Below are 22,747 nucleotides of genomic sequence, written 5' to 3' on the forward strand. Positions count from 1 at the left end.
TCTACTAAAAGTACAAAAATTAGCTGGACGTGGTAGTGGGCACTTGTAATCCCAGTTACTCGGGAGACTGAGGCAGGAGAATCACTTGAACCCAAGAGGCAGAGGTTGCAGTGAGCTGAGATCATGCCATTGCACTCCAGCCTGGGTGACAGGAGCGAAACCCTGTCTCAAAAAAAAAAGAAAAAAAAAAGATCTAGTGTTGATAGCATAATAAAGTGACTATAGTTAACAATAATTTATTGCATAGGTTGGTGCAAAAGTAACTGTGGTTTTTGCAACTTTAAAAACTGCAATTACTTCTGCACCCACCTAATATATTTTGAAGTAATTCGAGGAGTGGATTTGGAATGTTCCCAACAAAAAGAAATGATACATGTTTGAGGTGATGGATATCCCAACTACCCTAATTTGATCATTACACTTTGTATGCTTGTATCAAAACATCACATGTACCCCATAAATACGTATGACTATTATGTGTCCATAAAAAATGTTTTTAATTCAAAGAGAACCACACAAACGTGGAGGGAAGGGGCTCTGTGCTGGCTACACACGGGTCATTGCAGCTGGAAGGGACTCCAGAGGCAGGACCATGGATTTTAGGAAAACATCAGTACCATCATTTGCCTTCATACAGGTAAATTTATATAGTACCTCAATACCCATTTTCTAGGTAATTTTATGGAGTCTACTTGCCTATCAAATTTCCCTCCAGGTAATCATGAAACTGACATGAAACAGACTAGCAGCATATACGCTTCCCCTTTACCAGGGCACATCATTTAAAAGTCTGTGTTACTATACAAGCACTTCAAACATTAACATGTCTCAACCCTTACCAAGAATTCTCAGGCATTGCATCTCTTTTTTTGAGACAGGGTCTCACTCTGTTGCCCAGGCTGGAGTGCAGTGGTGCAATATTGGCTCATTGTAGCCTCCACCTCCTGGATTCAAGCAATTCTCCCACTTCAGCCTCCCAAGTAGCTGGGACTACAGGTGCACACCACCATGACCAGCTAATTTTTGTATTTTTTTAGTCGAGTCAAGGTTTCACCATGTTGGCCAAGCTGGTCTCAAAGTCCTGACCTCAAGTGATCCGCCCGCCTCGGCCTCCCAAAGTGCTGGGATTACAGGTGTAAGGGATTACAGGGCCACAGCACCTGGCCCGTTCCATCTTTAAATGCCCATTCCCTTCACACAAGGCCACTGAGGATGGAATGGCAATTTTCTTCTCTTAATTCTCATCACATACTGCCTCCTGCTTCATGCGTTCAATTCCCCACCTTTCCATTTGCCTGGGGCTCAATCGAAGTTCTCCGATTTTTACTTTTCTAACACTGAGTCTATCTTTAAGCAGATGTTTTGTTCTGGGACCAGCTCTGTGAAAAGCATTTAGGAAAACAAAAAGTAATTTACTTGCATGAAAGTTAAACAAGGGTGTCCAGGCTTTCAAAAGTCTAGCTTAAACACAAAACAAAAACAAACAGGAAACCCTGAAATAAACCCAAAAAACCAAAACACACCCATGTTCACACACGAGAGTACCAATGTTGCCAAGGACACAGTTTCTCTGTTCACGGTGGGAAAACAGCAATTTTGTCACAGTAGCTTATTTACAAAGGACGTTTTCATACATTAGCTTTGAACTGGTCATGGAAAAAATTCTTTGACATAGAATAAGTAACTTTCAGGAAAGTCTCATGGCTTCATTTATTAAGGGGCCTCTAACCGGACAGGGTTATCCTGTTGGATGGTTTCTTTTGGTTTATCTCAGGATGCCAAGTGCTTTCTGTTTTTGCCTGACTAGGGCACATGATTATGATGTGCACACTAACTCATCACAGCCGCAGGGACAGATGCTGGTTTTGCTTCTAGTCACTTAGTGTTAAGAGATAACGAGGTAATAGAATTCATCCGGTGAGGCCACCACCCTTTTTGTCTCTACCCCTGCGCACACCTCATGCCAATCCACACCATTCCTTCCTGAACCATCAGCAGCAGCAAGCACAAAGAAACCACAACTCAGAAGATTTTTCAAAAGTGCCAAAAGTTGGCTAGCAGTCCTATTTGAACACAGACGTGGCTATTGGACAGCAGTTGTCTAGCTCACCCAATCTTAGATGGATACTTTCCTGTAACACAACTAGGTCAAACAATCTTATCACCCTGACAGAACAGTTCCTGTCTTTCTCTAATAGAAATCTCTCCTGCCTTTATCTGAGCCCATTCCTTCTTGTGATATCTTCCTAGAAATTATATACTACTGAAAAAATAGTAATCAAATTACCCTTAGCTTCTTTCCTCTTGGCAAATTTACTTCATATCCATTTTTAAAATGAATCTCCCCTTCCTAATCATGTTGTTATTCTTTGTTAATCCTTTCCTTTTAAGTTGAGTTAATCAAAACTGAACAAAATGGCCAGGCACGGTGGCTCACGCCTGTAATCCCAGCACTTTGAGAGGCCAAGGCAGGTGGATCGCCTGAGGTCAGGAGTTTGAGACCAGCCTGACCAACATGGTGAAACCCCATCACTACTAAAAATACAAAAATTAGCTGGGCATGGTGGTGGTTACCTGTGATCTTGGCTACTCAGGAGACTGAGGCAGGAGAATTGGTTGAACCCAGGAGGCAGAGGTTGCAGTGAGCCGAGATCACGCCACTGTACTCTGGCCTGGGCGACAGAGCAAGACTCTGTCTCAAAAAAAAAAAAAAAATGCTCTTTATGGATCTCATTAATGCAATGTATGAAAGAAGAACTAATACTTTATACTTAGAGCTCATGTTTCATTTTAGTACATCTCAGAATTATGCTGATTTTTCACAACAGCATTCCTAGTAGCATGTATTTTTTTTTATTTATTTGTATTCAACTATGCCTCCTATCTCAAAGGATTATTGACAAGTTTAATGGGATTTTGTATGAAAAGTGCTTATCAGAATGCCCGGCACATAGAGAACACTCCATAAACGGTGACTATCATTTTTCATTATTTTTGATACTTTGGACTAGGGAGTCAGTGAAATACGTGGGGAAAGCGGGTTTGCTCAAGATGCATTGTAGGAAATATTTAGGTAGTGAATAGCAAAATATTTGTGCTCCCTGCTTTAAGACAACTCATTATAGGAACACTGGAATTTACAGAGCTAAAGTGTGCATTTGGCGTCTGAGATGAAGAGCTGTTCCCTTGCTCAGCCTGTCCAGCTTTATTTGCAGGGCTGTCTGTGGGCCCTCGCCTAAGCAGGGACTGCAGACTATCCTCCAAGATGATCCATTAGAAAAGGAAGTTAAACAAAGTAATCCACTGTGACACTATATATGAAGGATGATTGTACAGGAACTGTATATTCCTGGAATCTGTAGTAAATCCACACAGAAGTTTTATTTCTGGCCAAGGACTCAACATCAAATAAATCTGAGATATGACAAATAGTATAACAAAAGTAAACTATAAACCACCATCCATTTAAAAGAGGAGAATTATGATCCAAGACTAATGAAATGAGCATTAATATATGTACACATTGATGACACAAAAGGCCTTAATGAATTACTAAATACTCATCTGGTTTTATTATGTATAACAATTATAGCAGCTCGGTCTCAAAAAAACAACAACAAAAAAATGTTTAATGATGATGGTGTTCTTTCCCACTGAAAGCATTCCTTCTCTAAAGTAAGTGGCGACCCTATTCTCCCACCCTTCACCCTTCATAGCCTCCTAAGTTATAAAGTGTGATCATGGCATCAGTGGGGTTCCCAGGAGATACCTGGTGTTCAGTCTTTCTCAGCCTTCACTCCCGGGAAGTGACAGTGTTTGACATCTATTAGAGCACATCACGCTTCAGATGATGATGATAAAAATGATCAGATTACATTTTTAGATGTTACCTCTTCAGGTAAAATATATATTATAAAACCAAAGATCCAAATGGGCCATGGTCAGACCATATATAAAAACAGAACTGTGACCATAACCTGCCCAGGAAACCAGCCCCTTATCTACAATAAACAGTCCAGCAAGCCCGTCTGCTAAAGCCAGACTTGCAAGAAGTCTGGGAAATAACAATCTGAGAAGCTAAACAATAACTTTTATAATAATTAATTCCAAATGACCAGGAATTGATTAATAACTGACAGCTTTCCTAGTTTTTGTCCTCATTTCCAACTTTAGGCCAACCACAAAAGGCGCCTTAAATAATCACATGGCTGCCGGCTCCCAGTTAGCTAACTCCAGCTTCCCAGACCAACAGCCTCCAATCAGGGCACACCTGAAGCTGTCCCTTGTGTCTGCTGTAAAGCTCTCCCACTCCCCTGCCTGCCTTTGAGTCTCTCCCAAATGCCAGTGATGGTGGCTGACTCCCTCGCTATAGCAAGCTCTGAATAAACAGCCTTTGCTTTCTCACATGGTGGTCTTCCTTCATTTCATATATATAAGCGGTGTGTGTATTTTTTTAATGCTGCCCACCTGCTTCCCGATCACTCCTCCCTGTCACAAGACCTGAAAAGCCTTCTCAACCAACAGGTGGAGGCCTGGCCTAACTCTTCCCCTTCACCCTCCCCTCCTCACACTTCTAATGACACAGATTTTCTCCTTGACCAAATGCTAGCCAGGCCTCTCTGAGCCCCCTTCTAGACCAGGCCTCAACCCCCTCAGAGTGCCTGCTTGAGAAAGCCCAAGACTGACAAAAGAATTCTATGCACCATCTGATGAAAGGCTTCTGGCACTTTCTTAGAGTACTTACTAAAAAGGGCTTACAATTGTGACTCCTTCCTCTGTGCCTTTGAGATGGCTGTGTATCTCCTACAAAGGCAATCAAGGACGTAAAAAACCATTCCTTTACAATGTAATCATCAGGAAGGATAGGGCCAGTGTCTCCCAGTCTCTGGAAGGACAGAATCCAGACTTTGATCATTGCCAGCTAGCAGACACAGCTGCCTAATCAGCATTTACATGCGTCAATCCTTTGTCAGTTTTCACCTTCCTGACTCTGCTGAAGCCCCACTGGTTCCTCTCCGTTAATCCCTCATTGTCCCTTAAAATGCCCAGTCACCTCTGTACAAATCAAAGTTCAGTTCACGCTGGACCCTCTTCCCTATTGCAATAGTACATTATGATTACCATCTGTCCTTACCACGTTACCTAGTGTCTGGTTTATCTTTGGTACTAACCAGGTGTGCGCCTCCATCCTTCCCCCACCCACACCAATAGCCAGTAGCTGGTCTTCCTGTTACAGTAGGGAGCTAGTCAGGCATGAGCACAGCAGGAGAGCCCCCCTCCCCACCAAGGAATGTCAGGAGACCAACAGGTGGTGGGCAAGTGGTTGTTACACTGTTTCCCTAAAACGGTAATTGGTCGCAGCCAGCCCTAGGGAAAGGCAGGCTCCAAACAGAAAAAACCTGAAACTGGTCATCATCAGTTTCCTGATAAGATCTTAGGAGTTGGGCGAGTAAGCTGAAGCATGCGCACTAAGAGGCAAAATGGCAGCATTTAACTGGTACATGACCTTCTAGGAACATTCAGCTGGTAAAGGAAGAATGCCTCAAGTGAGCATGGGTACAACGCCAGTAAACACACTGTGCATGCTTCCCTCCCAAGCACTAGCAGGCCACTGTGCATGCGACAGCCCACCCCAAGGGAAGAACTAGGGAAGAAGGGATGCAAGACCCCAGAAATGCCAGTGTATAAAACCCTAAGTCAGAGGTCAAACAGGGCTCTTGATCTCTCAATTTGCCCGCTTAGCCCTCTTCCAAGTGTACTTTACTTCCTTTCATTCCTGCTTCTAAACTTTTTTTTTTTAAGAGACAGTCTCACTCTGTTGCCCAGGCTGGAGCGCAGTGGCATAATCTCAGCTCACTGCAACTTCCACCTCCCCTGTTCAACGGATTCTCCTGCCTCAGCCTCCCGAGTAGCTGGGATTACAGGCTTGTACCACCACGCCCAGCTCATTTTTGTATTTTTAGTAGAGATGGGGTTTCACCATGTTGGCCAGGCTGGTCTCAAACTTCTGACCTCAAGTGATCCGCCCACCTCGGCCTGCCAAAGTGCTGGGATTACAGGCATGAGCCACCGTGCCTGACCCTGCTCTAAACTTTTTAAAAACTTTCACTCCCGCTGTAAAACTTGTGTTCATCTCTCACTCTGCCTTATGCCCTTCAGTCGAATTCTTTCTTCTGAGGAGGCAAGAATTGAGGTTGCTGCAGACCCGCATAGATTCACCATCACTAACATTACCTTGGGCAGAGTGCTCAGACCTCAGGTTGTCTGAAATGAAAGTCACTATCACCCCAGAACCTGCATCCTTTCCCTACTCTTTAGAAATGTGATAGCTGGTGGCACTCCTGTTAAATCTTTCCATACCTAAGAAATCTTGGCTGGGCACACTAGCTCATGCCTGTAATCCCAGCACTTTGGGAGGCCAAGGCGGGTGGATTACTTGAGGTCAGAAGTTCAAGACCAGCCTGGCCAACATAGCAAAAACCCATCTCTACAAAAAATGCAGAAATTAGCCGGGCATGGTGGCGGGTGCCTGTAATCCCAGCAACTCGAGAGGCTGAGGCAGGACACTCCCTTGAACCTGGGACACCACTGCACTCCAGCCTGGGCGTCAGAGTGAAACTCCGTCTCAAAAAAAAAAAAAAAAAAAAAAATATATATATATATATATATCTTCTCTGGGTGAGGACCCACTGCTCCATAGAGCCTTTTCTGGTGAGCCAGACAAAAACTTTTATTTCCCTCATACAAGTACCTGTATGTTTATGCACACCTGTCTTGACTACACATCTCAACAGCTTTTCACTTACAGTAACATTTAGGAGGTAGCAATGTTAGCTGTCTAACAGACATAGCTTATGCTTAATTCTTGCAACCCTGGAAAGGCTGTTATGTATAAAATGGGGATAATAATATGTACTTCATAAGGTTGTTATGAAGAGCAAATAATGCTGGCTCGTAGTGGGAGGTTAGGAATTAATGTCCAATTAGAGAATGAATGAATAAGAGAGAACACACAGTAGTTCATAAATATGAGTTTCCCTTCCCCCTCAAAACAGCAGAACCAGAAAACAAGCAAGACCTAAGCATACATCTCACAATGGTCCTTCATCTGCTGTCCAGCAACCCGCCACCTCACTAAACTGACTATTCTATTTTCCTACGACACAAATAGATAGATATTTCTTATTTTTAAAATTTAGATCTACATCCCTGCAACTTCTCCCCTTGGGTCCTGGCTCAGTTCCCACCAGCCATACAAGATAACATCAGGTGCCTGGGCCTCCATTTTCTTTCTAGGACACCCAGTTTGGCCTTGGGGTGGGCTCCCACAGGTAGCTGGGAAGCTGATGCCCCTGAGTACCCACGTCCACCCACACGTGAAAACAAAAAAAAATCTCAGAAAGTAATTTCGAGCACGGGTCAAAGTTCTATTTCACACTTGCAGGGGCAAGACAGCAAAAGGAAAAAGCTGGTTCACAGCAACTGTCTTAGGAAAGCAAGGCCTCTTTTAGAAACAGAAAGGAACGTCTAGACCCGTGGCTTGTTTAAACACCCGCTGCTAGGCCCCACTGCCAGAGCTGCCTATCCAGGGCCGAGAATGTGCATTTCTAAGTAGTTCTCAGGCGGTGCTGATGCTGCGGATCTGGGGACTGTACTTTGAGAACCACCGGTGCAGACCCTGGCCAACGTTCTTTAGTCTGATGCGTCGGGGAGCTGTAAAGCTGCCATCCTTCACCGGTGGGCAAGTAACCTGGTGGCGCCACCCCAGGGCCAGACCCAGGGCCGGCCTCGGTGCGCCTCTAGCCAGAAATAACCAGCACTGGGTTCCGCTCACCGGCAACGCCAGGTGGGGGCCATCTGACCACTCAACAGTTTTGCTTTTTCTTCAAATTCGGATACTTAGAAGGAATGCGATGAAATTGGGATGAAGGTGTTTTGCTGGCCCCGTGGACAGACCAGACCTCCTCCCATCGGAGCCTCGGGTCTCACACCAGCCCCCCAGGCGGCGCGCGGCCCCGTCTCGCCACCGCGGCCCGGGTCGTTCGCGTCTTCCGGCGCCGAGGGTGCCTCTGGGTCCCAGCACCAGGCTCCGTGGCGCGCACGCGCGGCAGCTTCTTCTAGCCCCGCCAGGAGACGGCCCAGAAGGGCTATGCGGCGCGGCCTCGCTCCTGGGGGTGGTTAGGAACGACTGTTTCATTTCCTCCTTCACCCTTCAAATCTCAGTTTTTGCTTGGGCTTGAAGGAATGGGCCAGGGTATCGTGGACGGAGAGTCTTACAAAATTTGAGTTTTTGAGGTCAGAATTTAAAAGTAGCTGCCGAAACCCGGGATCGAACCAGGGACCTTTAGATCTTCAGTCTAACGCTCTCCCAACTGAGCTATTTCGGCACGTTCTGGGTTGTCTCCTGAGTAAACTATCACTGAGCGCTTTGCGTCCAACTGGCTTGCTTGTCTTTTCCTGGTGATCATGTACAGCATTTCTTCCTTGTCCTGTTAAACGGTGTCGTCGGAATTCTTCCACCTCCCTCCTTCTACGCTGCCACTGGGCGCTGCACACGCGCCTTACTTTCTTAGATTGCTCTCGGCGCGCGCAGCCCGCACGGTCCAGGAGCTGGGTCCAGGCCCCCGATGGCGGCTCCTCGGGATGCTGGTTCCGTCCTCCCAGGGCCGGTCCCCGCGAGATCCGAAGCAGCGGGGTCGCCTCGGGGAGCTCCTGCCCAGGCCTGGTAGCCCCTTCCCTTCGATCTGCCCCTGCCTGTGACTATCCACATTCGTCACCTTGCTCCCCGAAAAGTTCCAGGCCCCAGGTGAGGAGCCGTGTAGGCCCAATACGATTGGATGAAGGAGTGTACGGGGCAGGAATCGTCAGACTGGCCTCTGGAGAGGAGTTTGCAGCCTCTCCGTGCTCCGGGCCCGGGAAATGTCCACCTTAATCATCACCTCTTTGCATGGAGCCTGACTGGCAAATAAATGCTGGGTGAGCTCACTAACGATGATTATTCAGTCAATGCTATTTCCCACACGAGTCAACAAATGTTTCCGAAGCACCCACTACGTGCCAGGCTCATTCTTTACTTCCCAAACGTCTTACTTTTTCCATTTTTTAATTTTTGTCGCCAATTAAATTGTAATCTGTCAAGGCAGGGATCTTACCCGGCTCTTTAGAGCTTTGCATTTAAGTGGAAACTTCGCAGCCAATTTGGACGGATGGATGGATAGGATGGATGGATGGATGGTTGGATGGATGGATGGATGGTTGGATGGATGGATGGATGGCTGACTTCAAATGCGAAAGAGAAAAAAATACAAAATTAGAAATTTTTGCAATCTCTATTTTCTCCGCCAAGCCTCCTCCCTTATAAGAAAGAGAGTTTCTTTCTGGGTTCCTTTATTGTGCCAAATCCAAAAAAGAGCCGAGGCGTTGATGGTATAGTGGTTAGCATAGCTGCCTTTTAAATCCAAAGAAACCAAAGAGCTTGAGATTTAACAGAAGTCAGCAGCTAAGGATGAGAGAGAGACCAAAGAGAGCTTGGGGCTGGGCAGAGTTCAGAGAAGGGTTTGGGGAGCTTGGAGTGGAAGAGGGAGAAATTTTGGGCAGCCACCCTGTGAGGATCGTACATCTAAAAAGAGATGGGGAAAGAGACCTTTAACAGGCTTTCATGTATGTTATGAATGTAGCTACCTTTCCCATTCTCCTCAAAACACTGCAGGCAAGACGAATTATTTTCAACAACTCTTGGGCTGCTGGCCGGCTGTTCCTTACTGGATTCAATCATGAGATAGCTCAGCTTCTTAAATTTTACAAAAGTTGTGTCTTTAGGTTAAAAATCAAATCTGGGAAGTCTCAAAATATATGTTAGAGAGTGATGGGATAACACATGTACGGGCTGGGACATGGTGTTAGTGTCTCTCTTTCTTGGTCTCGTAGTCACACCTGCAAACCAGCTGCTTCGTGCATTGTCACCTGGGAAATGAAATCCTAGGTAACTAGGAAAGTGGCAGGTAAGTTTTGATGGGATTTAGGCTGGGGGTGGGGATGGGTAGCAAAGGTCCAAGCAGGATCTAATGGAAAATGGAGGAACAGGATAAGAGAGAGAGGAGAAGGAAGAGTGCAACCAAGAAACATTGCTTTGTGATTTAATGCGATGAGAACCCTTGGCAAATTGTGAGATAATAGACACTACATTGTCATAGTGATCATTTGTTTAGTAAAAGTTGATTTTAGAAAGTAAGTGTTGTGAGAGATGTCTTGGATAAGCTGGGTATCCAGGAAAGTCCTTGTTTATATATGTTGTCCCGGAACTCTCCATGGTAGTAGCCTCTTCACTGTTAAACAGTTAAAAGTAAGGCTGGACGCGGTGGCTCATGCCTGTAATCCCAGCACTTTGGGAGGCCAAGGCAGGTGGATCACTTGACGTTAGGAGTTCAAGACCAGCCTGGTTAACATGGTGAAATTCCATCTCTACTAAAAATACAAAAATTAGCCGGGCATGGTGGCGTGCACCTGTAATCCCAGCTACTCGGGAGGCTGAGGCAGGAGAATCAATTGAACCTGGGAGGCGGAGGTTGCAGTGAGCGGAGATTGTGCCACTGCACTCCAGCCTGGGTGACCGAGCGAGACTTTCTGTCTCAAAACAAAACAACAACAACAAAAAACAGTTAGAAGTGTTTTGGAATGACTGGAAGATAAATAAACAATGTGATCACCTACTTTATTAACTTTGTGAAAGCCTCAGCTTGATGCTCTCCGGGTTTCTCCCTAGGTTTTCCTGTTAGTGAAAAGATCTTCAACATCAACCCAATATTTATTGTTGCTGTTTTACAAAGGAGACCGAAAGTTTCTGGGACTTAGTGCCACGGTCCCGAAACTGCAGCCACCTGGGGCACTGAAGAATATTTCACATTTTTGAGAGAAACACAGCGATGCTTGGCATCTGTGGGACGCTATGCAAACTACCCAGTAGTTCATTGTTTTGGCAAGAGATTACATTTCTATCAGTGATGTCATCTCTTTCAGCATGATAAAAAGTACCCATGAATCAATGGGGAATATGAAATTAGGGTTGAGATGTCCAATCTGTTTCCAAGCTTGAGAAATTGTACACTGTCCAGGATACACACATCCCACCAGTAAGTTAACTGTGGTGAGAATGAAATTAGGGAGTCTCTGAGCCTACTCTGGCTTGGGAGGCTGCCCTTGAAAAAAAAAAAAAGAATGAAATAAAAGTGTAACTTTTCTTTCAATTTATATGTATAATTTTTTTCAAGTGGCTACGAAGTTGTTGGACATAAATCCTTATTAAGTTATTTGGACCTGAGTACTTAATAAAAGGAATTGTTCGGCATTTCTTTTGGCCTGGGGGCATTGGAAAAAATTACTGAGACAGTAAGAGCTGCCTGTGAACAGAGAAAGCGAAAAACAATTATTATGAGTTTGGGAAAAACCTTGCTTTACTCAGCAAGATTGCAGCGCAAAGAAGAACTGTCAGAACATCCAAGGAGACCAAGCGCCACAGGCTAAATAAAGTGAAGTGAAAATCTGTGCACACACATCATAGTAAGAAGAGACAGGTGATAAAGAAGTTGGCATTCAAAATGAGGATAAAGATGTTGAAGAAGACTCTGTGTTGGAAAGAAACTGTGTAAGCTGCAGTCCTGTTTTCCAAATGAGCTCGCGGATTTTGGCCAACTCCAGTCTAATTACCTATGATTAAAAAAACCAGCTAATTACGAGAACTAACTAGCAGATCTGAGAATAATAAAACTGAAGAGAGTATGTTGCATATAGTTATAACAGCTAATAAATTTTTGTGGGTTTTTTTGTTTGTTTTGAGATGGGAGTCTTGCTCCATTTATTGCCCAGGCTGGTCTCGAACTCCTGGGCTCAAGGGATCTTCCCAGGTAGCTGGGATTACAGACACACACAACTGTGCCCCACTTCTGATAAAAATTTAAATGGCTGTTAATTAATCTCTCCTTCAGTTTGCTCCTTGGGATTCTGCAGTGCACATGCATACACACACACACACATGCACACACACACACACATTTTTGGGGGCCTCTGATTTTAATCAATATTTCTTTAAAGTATTTTAAAAATGATGGGGGTATGTCAAAAGGACCTAGGAACCAGTTTGAAGGGGCTCCTACTGGCCAAAACTGGGACAATCTGAGCATCAAAATAAATAAGAATATTAATGGATTATTTACCCTTTGAATAAAATAAAAGTCCTTTAGTACAATAATTGTGTGGTGGATGCAGGGGAGGAATTGAGGATTCTTATAGCTGAATGAAGTGTGCAGACTGACAAATTTGGAGGTAGTGGTAGCACGGGATATCACCATTTTCCAAACATCATAGTAAAGATTGATTCAGTCAAGAATCATCAATGGATGTTAAGTCTAAGGGGGGACAGTTAAACGAGGAGCAGGATCATTGCATGGCCTCAAAGTATTTCTCCACAGATTGCTTAAACTGCACAGTGGAGAAAACGGACAATGCCATGATCCGGTCATCAAAATTAGCATCACCAATGTAGGACATTCGGTCATCACATGCCTTCTATTGTGATGCCCTGTAAAAGACACAACACACACAGTGCTCCAGGCAGGGAAGCAGAACCTAACTTTAATCATGGAGCAGCATTATACAAACCCCAAGTAAAGGTCATCCTAGTAAATAAATGGCCTGTATTATTCAAAACTGTTAAGGTCACGAAAGCAAAGAAAAGCTGAGGAACTGTTCCATATGCAAGGAGGTGAAAGAAACACAACTCAGTGCAATGTGTAATCCCAGACTGGTTCCTATTCTGGAGGAGAAAATGCTTTAAAGGGTGCTATTGGGACAACTAATGAAATTGGAACATGAGCTGCAGATTAGATGAGTGTGTTTTATCAGTGCTAAATTTCCTGAAGTTGGCAACCATAGTTAGGTAAGAAATATCCTTGTTTCAGGAAGTACATACTGAACTATTAAGGGATGAGAGACAATCCACTCTCAAATAGATTCTGAAAATAAATAATAGTATGCATACATATTATTATATATGTAAACATATACACACATGCATGTGTATATATGAAGATAATATTAAAAAATAGAAACAAATATTAAAATTTGGCGTATCTGAGTAAAAGGTATATGGAATTCTTCTGTATCATTTTATAACTTTTCTAAAAATTTGAAACTCAGACCAAGCATGGTGACTCACACCTATAATCCTAACATTTTGGGAGGCCGAGACCAGAGGATCGTTTGAGCCAAGGAGTTTGAGGCCAGACTGGGCAACAATAGGGAAACTCTGTCTCTACAAAAAAAAAAAAAAACAAATTAGGCCGGGGGAGGTGGCTCAGGCCTGTAATCCCAGAACTTTGGGAGACCAAGGCAGGTGGGTCACATGAGGTCAGGAGTTCAAGACCAACCTGGCCAACATGGTGAAACCCCATCTCTACTAAAAATACAAAAATTAGGCAGGTATGGTGGCGTGGCACCTGTAATCTCAGCTACTCATGAGGCTGAGGCAAAAGAATCGCTTGAACCCAGGAGGCAGAGGTTGCAGTGAGCTGAGATCACGCCACTGCATTCCAGCCTGGGGAACAGAGACTCTGTCTTAAAAAAAAAAATTAAAAAATTAGACAGGTGTGGTGGTACACACTTGTGGTCCTAGCTACTTGACTTGAATGGCTAAGGCAGGAGAATCGCTTGAGCCTGGGAGGGAGAAGCTACAGTGAGCTGTGATCATGCCATGCACTCCAGCCTGTGTAACACAGTGAGACCCTGTCAAAAAAAAAAAAAAATACCCTCAGATTTGTTTTTAAAATAAAAAAAATAAATAAATAATGTTTGGCGGTCTTCTTGAGCCAAGACAATTTCAGTTAGAATCATACTATAGCTAAGAGCTGGAAGAGAATTTAGCATTTATTTCGCCTGACCACAAATTTTACGCTAATGCTCCGGAGACACTAATAAGTAACTTGCTTGAGATTACCGTATCAGTCTTCTCGGGCTGCCATAACAAAATACCGTAGACTGGGTGACTTAAACAACAGAAATTTATTTTTTCACATTTTGGAAGCTGGGAAGTCCAAGATCAAGGCTTTGGAGGATTGGGTTCCTGGTGAGGGCTCTCTTCCTGGCTTGCCGAGGCCACCCTCTCTGTGTGCCCACATGACCTTTCCTCCGTGTGTGTATGCGTGTGGAGAGAGAAGGCTTCCACATCTCACAAGGCCATCAGTCCTATCAGATTAGAAACCCACGCTTACAACCTCTTTAGCCTTCATTACCTCCCAAAAACGCTACATCCAAATACAGTCACATCGGGGTTAGGGTGTCAACATATTAATTTTGGGGGGACATATTTTTTAGTCCACAGCAATTACACAAACTGATACAGCGCTGACTGCTGACCCATAGAGCATATTCCTTACCTTGCACCAAATACTCTTAATATTTTTCATAAAGACTGTTTCAATGAAAAATTGGCATGAGAATAAAAAACCCAAACTTGAATCTAGGGCTAGGGCCCAGTTTTCTCCTGCAGATGCTTTTTTATGGGCATGTATATGCTTTTTGAACGAAGTTGCTTGATGGATACAAAGCGATTCCTCCAAAGTTATATATTAAAGTTGTAACTTAGGGGAGAAGTATTTAAAAAAATTAATAGCTTGCAAAGATCATCAGTGTGCTGAATTGATCCAAAAGAAGTTAATTTATTTAAAGCCATTAAACCACAAGTCCATAAAGACCTTATTGTTTTTTGTTTTTGTTGAATCACAGACATCAATATCAAGCCTCTGGGTATACTTACCAGGCCAGAAACAATTAAGTAAATTATACTCAGAAACAACCTACCAAGCTTTTCATATGTTCTAATCCAATCCTCCCACATCCATCAAGCAAACGCCTAGCTAATCATGTGGACTTTGCACAATACCCTACAGGCCAGAAAACTTGGATTCTAGAACCTGAGTTTCAGAGGCTTGGATGCTTTTTAAATACTTCTTAGCTTAATTGCTTGTCTCTGCCTTTTGATGAAGTGGGCCAGACTCCCAACTGCATTTCTGTCCCCATCTCCTCATCTTCCCACCCTACCCTTATTCAACCATGAAGGATAAGGCCTGATTATTCACCTAGAGAAATCAAATGAAATAAATTTAACACAACAGTTTCCTAAATCCCTTAATAATTCAAAAAAGAAATGTCAGAAAGCATAAATCAACCAGTCTCTTCTGTTAACCCAGTGAGGTACACAGCTGATGTCCAATGACCGGGGGCTCAGAAAAGGAGGCCACGACTCAGAGATGCCTGTGCACTTTGGTCCTGTTTTCCTTTCAGCCTCCCAGGGGCTTCACATTCTTGACTTTTGTAGGGACTTGCAACTCGCCAAAATGGTATAAAGATTAAACTGAAGACATTTGAGATACAACAGATGAAGCAAGAAGCCTTTTCTGAGCTTCTCTTATCTGAGGAAAGGCACAGCCTTCCAAGAAGGAAGCTGCCATAGGTCCTCTCTGTCTCTGGGGGAATTTCCAGCAAGGAAGGAGACTATTAGCACTGGGATATGAAACTGCATAAACAAACATTATGACAAACTGTCCTACCTTCCGTTTGTTTCCCTAAAGCCATCTGTCTCTCCTAAAAGCTCATTTATTTCCCACAGAAGTCCTCTCTCTCCCTCTTTCCCCCTCTTAAGCAGGTATATAAACCCTTATCCCTAGCTGTTCAGCCAGCCTCTTCATTTGAATGTTCCCACATGCGTGTGAGTTAAAATTTTTCTCCCATTAATCTGTCTGTTTTTAGTTAATTCACAGCCCCTCCCGCCACCCACTGAACCCTAAAGGCAAAGGGGAAATCTTTCCAACACTTTCCATTGCTTTCATCCATTTCTCTAGTCCTGTTTATTTATTTATTTGTATCCCTTAACTCCATCTCCTCCCACTGGCCTACTCCTCACACCCCTCACTTTTTTTTTTTTTTTTTTTGAGATGGAGTTTCTCTCTTGTGGTCCAGGCTGGAGTGCAATGGCGCGATTTCAGCTCACTGCAACCTCCACCTCCTGGGTTCAAGCGATTCTCCTGCCTCAGCCTCCCGAATAGCTGGGATTATAGAAAGCCACCACCACGCCCAGCTAATTTTTGTATTTTGAGTAGAGATGGGGTTTCACCATGTTGGCCAGGCTGGTCTCGAACTCCTGACCTCAGGTGATCCACTCGCCTCGGCTTCCCAAAGTGCTCAGATTACAGGCGTGAGCCACTGTGCCCGACCCACACCCCTCACTTTTACTCAGAAATGTAGTGTGTTTAGTATAAAAGTCTTGGAGACAAGGCAGCTCTTCTCCACCCTTTCTGCCTATCTTCATTGCACACACAGGCCAGGGTTTTTCTAGAGGACTTTAGCGTATGGGCAGGAGAGGGTGACAGGAGGGGATAGTGGAGTTTTGCTGCTCTCTGTGGTCAGGGCTCAGGCAGGACTCTAAGGGAAGCCTCACTGAACCCACTGTCCTCAGTCCTTCTGTGGTTGGAATGGTCAGGGCACATGTCCACGACTCTTCCAATTAGTGGGATAGAAAGCAGGGCCCTAGCCCCAGATTCTACCACTCAGCTCCCTAGCCTATTCTCCTCATTTGCAATTGGAAAAGTTGACTCCGATTTTCCCAACCACAAAAGTTTACATACAATTCAGAAGGGAATAAAACTGCAACCCAACCCTCTCATTCGACATGTCTTTCCCATTGATGCCTGATTCTTTCCCGACAGGCAGGAAGGAATCTATCAAACCACAGGCCAAAGATCCCTATTCAGACAGCACATTTTACCCTCATGACAATAATTACCTAAATAGTTGGATAAGGAGAAATGCTTCAATTTGGCAATGACTGATGCTTCCCCCACAAAAAATGCAAGAAATAAAATCCAAGTGCTGTTCTTTGTCCTAATAAGAAATATACAAGGATATTCAATCATATTGGTGCTTGTGTAATATTTACAAAATGTAAGGGACAATGCCTCTACCCCATGTATGAATCAATGAAAGACCAGAGAGGTTAATGACTGCTAGCGTGACCCAGTTATCTGGTGACAGAGGTAGGACTAGAACTTAGGTCTCAGATCCCAGGTCAGAGTTGTTATACTTGTTTATGTTTGTTTGTCCCTGTATAAGACCAACCTTATCAGAATAGAAGTTTGCTTAAATTTATGATAACATACACTTTGCGGATATTAAGTTTCGTGGCAAATGATCTTCCTGGCTTTACTCAGTGTTGAATCTTGCTGCTTACACTAAACTGGCGCATTCCCTGAGCCCATGAAGAATTTCTATGCCAACCTTGTGAGGTAGGAGAATAGGCTCTGAAGGCAGGGAACATAGGCCATTCACACTGACTTCTTAGAAATAAATCAAAAGGAAAACCCCAATCTTCCACTTCCAAGTAACAAAAGGAACAGAGGCTACTTCCTTTGCAACCCCCACTTTTCTGCGTGGCAGATGAAAAACTGAAAGTACTTTTGATTCGTCCTCTCCCGCAACCAATCAGGCTGGTCGCAGGCCAAGTCTTCATTTGCATAGGAATATAACGTTGTAACTTCACTTTAGCCTCTGATAGGTCACTTTCCACAACCAGTCAGAAGTTTGCATAGGGTGTAACTTTGTAACTTTGCCTCATCCTCTGATTGGTCCCTTCTTGCAACCAATCAGACTGATCACAGACCACTACTTTATTTACATAGGGCGTACACAAAGTAACCAATGGGAAACCTCTAGAGGGTATTTAAATCCCAAAAAATTCTGTCATCGCGGGCTCCCACCCTGTGGAGTGAACTTTTGTTTTCAATAAATCTCTACATTTGTTTCTTCCTTTCTTACTTTGTGCGTTTTGTCCAATTCTTTGTTCAAGACGTCAAGAACCTGGACACCCTCCACTGTTAACACTTGTTTTGAGAATCTTGAGGCCTGATTACTTTCAATTAAAAATCTGGGGCCCAGAAAAGGACATGCTAGGAATCATTTATACTTCAGTGTAAACAGAGGTCTTCCCACCCATCTTTGGGTGGGTCTTTTGATACACTATACAGTAATACGCATAGCATTACCTATGAAGGTTTCTTGCTAAAAATGTTTGATCTGAAACTACTTAAGCCTCCAGGTAGACCTAACTTCCAGTTTATACGAAACTGAGAAAATGGAGAAACGAGTTAGATGACACCATGAAGAAATAACCAGGTACATCTAGAATATGAGGCATTCTCTAAGACATCTAGCCTGCGGCTGTTTTCAAAAATGTCAGTGCCATGAAGACAAAAAAAACCCACATCAAAAAGAGAGACAGCTGCATGTTTAACAGACTGAAAATACATTACCAAAAGTAATATGTGAACCTTTACTGAATCCTGCTATGGAAAAAAAAAAGCTGTAAATAAGATAATTTTGGGGGGACATGGAGAAATTAGAATACGTATATTAGATATTAGGGAATAAAATATATGACTCCATTCTCTTAAGTATAAAAATAATATGGTCATTAGGTAGGAGTATACTATTGGTTTCAGAATATTTGTGCTAAAGTATTTAGAAGTGAAGTGTCATGACATCAACTTATTTTCAAACACACAAATTTCCACATACATACACACACAAAAATCAATATGGCAAATGTTAACAATTGTTAAATTCAGGTAGAGAAATACATCTTTCAATTTTTCTGTATGTTTTAAATTTTTCATAAAAATTTTAAAAAATTAGTCTTGTCTTACACATCCTAGAAATTTTTGGATTTCAATCCTATTTTCCATTAAAGACTGAACAACTTTCCTTCTTATCAATAGGATTTTAGGCATGGAAAGGTGATTAAAGATACATTTTGTGAAAATGAACAGACCCTTCCCCAAGACCACAAACGGCCTAAGTAGCCTCTTTATCTCTTTATTGCTAAGGCTTGTCTTGTACATACCAAGATCATACTTTTAATTCTCAAGTCAGGATATGTGGTCTGGCAAAAGATTTTTTTTCTTGCTTCTGCTTTTACTCATATGAAAGCCTTACAAAAGCATACAAATCAAAACATTTGTAGATATAATTTTTATTTGTTTAACAATGAATCATCTTTATTTAAAAATCACATAAATGAAATTACACTGTTTCAAGGATTTCAAATATACAGTTTCCATGTCTTGTAGTCAACTCCGATGTGATTTACAGCAAAATCTTTAACTTTACAAGGTCAGCTTAATAATCTACCATAATGTATGTGAGGATAAAAATGTCTTCCTTGTCTTTTATTTTTAACTTTTAATTTCCTTTTTGAATCAGGCTTTGAGTTTTGACCTTCACAATTACTAAGGAAAGTCAGATTGCAGTAATTAGAATACTATAGTAACATCATCTAAAACTATGGTTTGATTAGTCCATTAACTTAAGCAACCACAATTTCAACTCCTGAGAAATTTAAGCCGATTTAATTTGAGCTATGTGGTACACTATTCCCTTTTTATGATTGCTGAAATATCTGCAGAATAAGTCAGAGGTAGCATACTTATTTAGAATATTACAAGAGCGAAAGAAAATCCCGCAGAGCAGCAAATCAATTTAAGAGAAATGTGCATTTTCTAAATGTTAACACATGGAGCTTTCATTTGACATCTACTATCCAAATAGCTAAAATGACCACTTTCCTTTAGAAATTTTTCTTCTGGGCAGAGAAATATTGCTTTATATTTTCCCTTAAGTTTATTCAATTAAAAAATGTGAAGGGCAGAGCTCCAGAGCCATTACATTTTTAAAATTTTCTGGAAATATAAATTTTTTTTTCAAGAGCTTATTTGGCTTAGTTTAGGTACGATTTCTCATCTCTGTAATTTCCATTCAGCCTTATAACCTAAAAACATGCTTTCCCTCCTCTCCTACGCCTACAGTTAATTCTCACAACAATCTTCATTAAGAGAGCAATGTTTTCATTCCAAGTCAATAGATGAGGTACTAGGCAAAGTATAGAGCTGTTACTAGACATGCAACTGGAGAGCTTTCCAGAACAGGCGTACCTTGGAGATATTGTGGGTTCAGTTCCAGACCACTGCAATAAGGTGAATATTGCAATAAAGGGAGTCACAGAAATATTTTAGTTTCCCAGTACATTTAAGTTATGTTTACATGATACTGTAGTCTATTAAGTGTGCAATAGCATTATGTCTAAAAACTCAATGTACATATCTTAATTAAAATATTTTATTGCTAAAAAATGCTAGCAATCATCTGAGCCTTTAGTAAGTCATAGTGGAAGGTCTGGCCTTGATGCTGATGGCTGCTGATTTATCAGTGGTTGCTGAAGACTGAGGTGGCTGTGGTAATGTCTTAAAATAAGACAACAATGAAGTTTGCTGCATTGACTCTCTTTTGTGAAAAATTTCTCCATGGCAGGCCGTGCTGTTTGATTGCATTTACCCACAGTAGAACTTCTTTCAAAATTAGAGTCAATACTCTCAAACCCTGCTGCTATTTTATCAAGTAAGTTCATGTAATATTCTAAATCCTTTGTCATTTCAGCAACGCTCACAGCATTTTCACCAGGAGTAGGTTCCATCTCAAGAAACTACTTTTTTTTTTTTTTTTTTTGCTCATCCATAAAAAGCAACTACTCATCCATTGAAGTTTGATCATGAGATTGCAGCAATTCAGTCACATCCTCAGGCTCCACTTCTAAATCTAGTTCTCTTGCTATTTCCACCACATCTGCAGTTACTTACTTCCTCCACTGAAGTCCTGAACCCCTCAAAGTCATCCATGAGGGTTGGAATCCACTTCTTTCAAACTCCTGTTAATATATTTTGACCTTCTCCCACGAATCATGAATGTTCTTAATGACATTTAGAATGGTGAACTCTTTTCAGAAGGTTTTCAACTCACTTTGCCCAGATCCTTCAGAGGAATCGCTATCTATGGCAGCTATTCCTTACGAAATTTACTTCTTAAATAATAAGGCTTGAATGTCAAAATTACTCCTTGACCCACGAGGTACAGAATGGAAGTTGTGTTGCCAGGCATGAAAACATTAATATCCTTGTACATCTATATCAGACTTCTTGGGTAACTAGGTGCCTTGTCAATGAGCAACAATATTTTGAAAGAAATCTTTCAGTCATCTAGGCTTTGTTGTATAATTTCTAGAGCACAGGCCGAGTAGATTTAGCATAATTCTTAAGGGCCTTAGGATTTTCAGAATGGTCAATGAGTGTTGGCTTCAACTTACAGTCACCAGCTGCATTAGACCCCATTAAGAGAGTCCTCTGAAACTCTGAAGTCAGACATTGACTTCTCTTCTCTTAACTATGAAAGTCCTAGATGACATCTTCCTCTTTTTTTTTTTTTTTTTTCTTTGAGATGGAGTTTCGCTCTTATTGCCGAGGCTGGAGTGCAATGGCGTGATCTCGGCTCACTGCAACCTCTGCCTCTTGGGTTTAGGCGATTCTCCTGCCTCAGCCTCCCGAGTAGCTGGGATTACAGGTGCCCGCCACCACGCCCAGCTAATTTTTTGTATTTTTAGTAGAGGCAGGGTTTCACTATGATGGCCAGGCTGGTCTCAAACTCCTGACAGCTGAACCACCCACCTTAGCCTCCCAAAGTGCTGGTATTACAGGCGCGAGCCACTGCACCCAACCTAGATGGCATCTTCTAACAGAAGGCTGTATGGTCTACATTGAAAATCTTTTGTTTAGTGTAGCTACTCTCATCAGTGACCTTAGCTAGATCTTCTGGATAATGTGCCACAACTTCTCCACCAGCCCTTGCTGCTCACCATGCACTTACGTTATAGAAACAGTTTCTTTCCTTGAGTCTCATGAACCAATCTCTGCTAGCTTCCAACTTTTCTTCTGCAGCTTCCTCACCTCTCTCAGCTTTCACAGGATTGAAGAGTTGGACCTGGCTCTGGATCAGGCTTTGACTTAAAGAAATGTTGTGGGGCAGGCGCGGTGGCTCACGCCTGTAATTCCAGCACTTTGGGAGGCTGAGGCAGATGGATCACTTGAGGTCAGTGGTTAGAGACCAGCCTAACTCCTGGTCTCTCCTGGTGAAACCCCATCTTTACCAAAAATACAAAAATTAGCTGGGCGTGGTGGCAGATGCCTGTAATCCCAGCTACTGGGGAGGCTGAGGCAGGAGAATTGCTTGAATCTGGGAGGCGATCATGCCACTGCACTCCAGCCTGGGTGACAGAACGAAACTCCATCTACAAAAGAAAAAAAAAGAAATATGGATGGTTTGATCTTCTATCCAGAAAATTCAAATTTTCTTCACATTAGCAATAGGGCTGTTTCACTTTCCTATCATTCATGTATTCACTAGAGCATCTCTGTTAATTTCCTTCAAGAACTTTTCCTTTGCATTTACAACTTGGCTAACAGGTACAAGAGGCTTAGCTTTTGGTCTTTCTCAACTTTTAAAATGACTTCCACACTAAGCTCAATCATTTCTAGCTTTTGATTTAAAGTGAGAGATGTGTAACTCTTTATTTGAACACTTAGAGGCCATTGTAGAGTTTTTGTTTGTTTGTTTTTCAGAGAAAGAGTCTTGCTCTGTCGCCCAGGCTGAAGTGTAGTGGCGCCATCTCGGCTCATTGCAACCTCTGCCTCTTGGGTTCAAGCAACTCTTGTGCCTCAGCCTCCCAAGTAGCTGGAATTACAGGCGCGCCATCACTCCTGGCTAATTTTTTTTTTTTCTTGAGATGGAGTTTTTGCTCTTGTCACCCAGGCTGGAGGGCAGT

General features: G+C 42.7%; 1 protein-coding gene, 1 long non-coding RNA gene and 1 other non-coding gene across 9 annotated transcripts in view, besides 3 other annotated features; 1 reads left to right on the plus strand and 2 right to left on the minus strand.

Moving 5' to 3' along the window:
- The window catches only part of DCT (dopachrome tautomerase), a 112,596-nt gene extending 104,525 nt beyond the window's left edge, over nucleotides 1–8,071 (minus strand). For all 6 annotated transcript variants that reach the window (NM_001322182.2, NM_001322185.2, NM_001322183.2 and 3 more), the window contains exon 1: nucleotides 7,835–8,071. The gene's annotated coding sequence lies outside the window, so the exon portion shown is untranslated. The remainder of the gene's footprint in view (nucleotides 1–7,834) is intronic.
- Nucleotides 7,413–11,832, plus strand: LOC124903191 (uncharacterized). 2 transcript variants are annotated; one of them, XR_007063836.1, is made up of 2 exons: nucleotides 7,413–8,976; nucleotides 10,763–11,832. It is a non-coding gene; the product is annotated as an uncharacterized LOC124903191 (long non-coding RNA). The 2 variants fall into 2 exon arrangements; XR_007063835.1 differs by having other exon boundaries at nucleotides 8,407–8,806.
- Nucleotides 7,946–8,175: a silencer, noted in NCBI's record as "silent region_5434". NCBI's record gives its function as "represses an Ori minimal core promoter by ATAC-STARR-seq in GM12878 lymphoblastoid cells {active_cell/tissue: GM12878}" and the evidence as "EXISTENCE:reporter gene assay evidence [ECO:0000049][PMID:35858748]".
- TRF-GAA1-5 (tRNA-Phe (anticodon GAA) 1-5) lies at nucleotides 8,315–8,387 on the minus strand. Its single transcript has one exon. It is a non-coding gene; the product is annotated as a tRNA-Phe (tRNA).
- Nucleotides 8,708–9,207: an enhancer, noted in NCBI's record as "H3K27ac hESC enhancer chr13:95202297-95202796 (GRCh37/hg19 assembly coordinates)". NCBI's record gives its function as "activates a minimal SCP1, AML or CMV promoter by ChIP-STARR-seq in naive H9 embryonic stem cells {active_cell/tissue: H9 hESC(naive)}" and the evidence as "EXISTENCE:reporter gene assay evidence [ECO:0000049][PMID:30033119]".
- Nucleotides 8,746–8,925: an enhancer, noted in NCBI's record as "active region_7865". NCBI's record gives its function as "activates an Ori minimal core promoter by ATAC-STARR-seq in GM12878 lymphoblastoid cells {active_cell/tissue: GM12878}" and the evidence as "EXISTENCE:reporter gene assay evidence [ECO:0000049][PMID:35858748]".
- Nucleotides 11,833–22,747: the final 10,915 nt, after the last annotated feature.

This window comes from Homo sapiens, chromosome 13 (assembly GCF_000001405.40).
Source record: "Homo sapiens chromosome 13, GRCh38.p14 Primary Assembly".
Lineage (NCBI taxonomy): Eukaryota > Metazoa > Chordata > Mammalia > Primates > Hominidae > Homo > Homo sapiens.